General features: G+C 40.1%; 1 long non-coding RNA gene across 1 annotated transcript; it reads left to right on the forward strand.

The window, feature by feature from the left end:
* The first annotated feature begins 1321 nt into the window (after positions 1–1321).
* LOC105369405 (uncharacterized) lies at positions 1322–2474 on the forward strand. Its single transcript, XR_950347.3, has 2 exons — positions 1322–1404; positions 2317–2474. It is a non-coding gene; the product is annotated as an uncharacterized LOC105369405 (long non-coding RNA).
* The last annotated feature ends 221 nt before the right edge of the window (positions 2475–2695 follow it).

Here is a 2695-nt window from a genome sequence, read left to right on the forward strand (position 1 = left end):
AATTAAAAATTTTGTCCGTATATACCCAGCTATTAAACACCACAGTGAGAATTCAATCCAGTCCCCTAAATAAGCAATTCCCTAACTATGTATTTGGGGACACTAGTGTTTTATATGTTTCTGTAGTCTATCATGTTAGGGAAATGCTGAGATAAATAAATGTCTCAGTTACAGGATTTCTCAGAGTTGTTGATATCCTAATGTGCATTGTGAATCTGTTAGTAAGAGACTGTGTAATGCATCCTTTCCCAAAGTAGATGAATGTGATATTGAAGCTACTCCTTGAAGGGTGAGTAGAATTTGAGTATGAGACTTTTGATCTGGTTGCTGACTGGCTGGCCAAAAGGACAACCAACTGACCATAATACTTTGTTTTTCTCCATTTTGCTCCTCCCTTTCTAATCCGCCCTGGCCCACCTTGCTCAATGAGCACCAATCGCAGTGCCCTTTTCTTTCCCCTCAAGTTCTTAATTACTCAACAACCATACTGGCTGTCTTTCATATGAATGTAAGCCCCTTTCTGCCTTGGGAATTTATAATATACTGCTCTTTCTGCCTGGACTACCTTTCACCTCCATCACCTAACTCACACTCGTCTTTCAGAGCTCAGCCTAAAGGCAGCTACCTGGGGGAAAACATTCCTAAGCACTCTAATTAGGTCAGATCTCCCTTTGTTATGTTCTCAAGGTATGTTGTATTTGTGTATCATATCAAGCATAATATGTATCATTTGCATGTGATGCACAACATATCAATTGCAATCATATATGTATTTTTATTTGTTTATCGTCTGTCTTCTTTCTGTAGACTCCAAGATCCTTTTGGGGTAAGGACTATGTCTGTTTTGCTTATCACCATATGCTTAGAACTGAGCATGGTACCTAATACTTGCTAGATGCTCAGTAAACATTTGCTAAGTTATTGCATGAATGATCAAATGGATGAATGAAAAAGATGACTTAATTTGTTATCATCATTAATGATAAAGCTAATTAATAAACTTTGCTTAAAATGGTGGCTCTTGTTAGAATTCCAACAGCTCAATTCTGCATCACAGGTCTGCAATGAGACAAGAAAATAATGCAAAAACATAGCCTCAAATGTGATAAATATTCCATGAAACAAAATCCTAATTTTAAAAAAATTGTTTCCATTCTGTGCATGAATTATTTTGCCAACAGGTATCTCAGCATGAAACTGCCTTCACCTCAGAAATACCCAGCCTCAAAAGCATATTCAAGCAGTTCTTCATGACTCCCGTAAATCAAGCTCTCATCATTGAGCCATGGGAGCAAATGAATATTCTCTTTTAAAGAGTGAACAAGCAAATGCTTGGAATAAAAAGAAAGAATTACATTGAATCTTTTAAAAGACTCAGTTTTCCAACCTGGGCTGGCTAAGCAGGTAAGCCTGACCCAGAGTCCTGGGCCAATGTTTCCATCTTCTGTGAAATTTGTTGGCCACTGAGATGGGATATTTTGGTAGCTGTGCCTTTTGTTTTACCATAGAGGACTTCTGGGAAGAGTAAATAGCATAACATCCCCCAAACATCTAGCACAATGCCTGCCCATACATTATATGCCAGTTCCCTTGCCCTTTCTGTTCTTCTTCTAGCTTGTTCTGACCTTAATTTATTGATTTATTAATTAGCTCTTCCTGTGGGTACCTCCACTCTAGACAGTGGACACTTTAAATGTGGTGATAATGTCTTATTCATCCCTGCATCCCTAGTCTTTCTACAATGTCTGGTACACATGGGACACTAAACAAATGTTAGTTAATGAAAGAATGAATGATCTCATCCACAGTCTGCAAAGTGAGTGTGGGACCTTTTATGATCTCCTGTTACACAGTGGAAGAAATGGAAGCTCAGACAGTTCAGGTGACTTACTTGTCTGGGGATCCAACTGATGACCCACAATCTGTGCAAACCCTCAGTTAAGGCTGGCATTCAAAGCCTTCGCAATGGTCTGAATGTTAGTGTCCCCCCCAACATTCATATGTTGAAATCCTACCTTCTAGGGTGATAGTATTAAGAGGTCTGGCCTTTGGTAGGTAATTAGATCATGAGGATGGAGCCCACACAAATAAGATTAGTGCCCTTATAAAAGAGGCCTCTGAAAGCTGCCTTGCCTTGTCTATCATATGAGGACACAGTAAGAAGGTACCATTTATGACCCAGTAAACCAGCTCTCAATAGACAACAATGTTTCTGGTGCCTCCATCTTGGACTTTTCAGCCTCCAGAGCTGTGAGAAATAAATTTCTGTTGTTTATAAGCCATCCAGTATGAGGTTTTTTTTTTTTTTTTTTACAGCAGCCTGAAGGAACTAAGACAGCCCTGCATGACCTGGCCGCTGCCTGCTATTCCAGGATTCTCTCCTGCAGCTTCTCGCCTCGTTTATTCTCTAGTAATGCAGAATAGCATGTGGCTCTACCCATGTTCTGACAGACTGAATAAATACTGAAAGAATGCTTTTTTTGTGTATGTCTGAGCCTTTGTTCCTTTTGCTCCCTCAGTCTGGCAGGTCCTTATTCAATTTACCTTTCAATTCTCTGTTGAGGCATCTCCTCCTCCTGGAAGCCTTCCGTGGATAGCACTTCCCTGCTCTGAGATGAATGTCCCCCACTCCACATAATTAGAGGGTCCTGTGCTTAGCACAGCACTTGCAACATTGTATGCTGGTTACTTTCTG

Source organism: Homo sapiens, chromosome 11 (assembly GCF_000001405.40).
Source record: "Homo sapiens chromosome 11, GRCh38.p14 Primary Assembly".
NCBI classification, from domain to species: domain Eukaryota; kingdom Metazoa; phylum Chordata; class Mammalia; order Primates; family Hominidae; genus Homo; species Homo sapiens.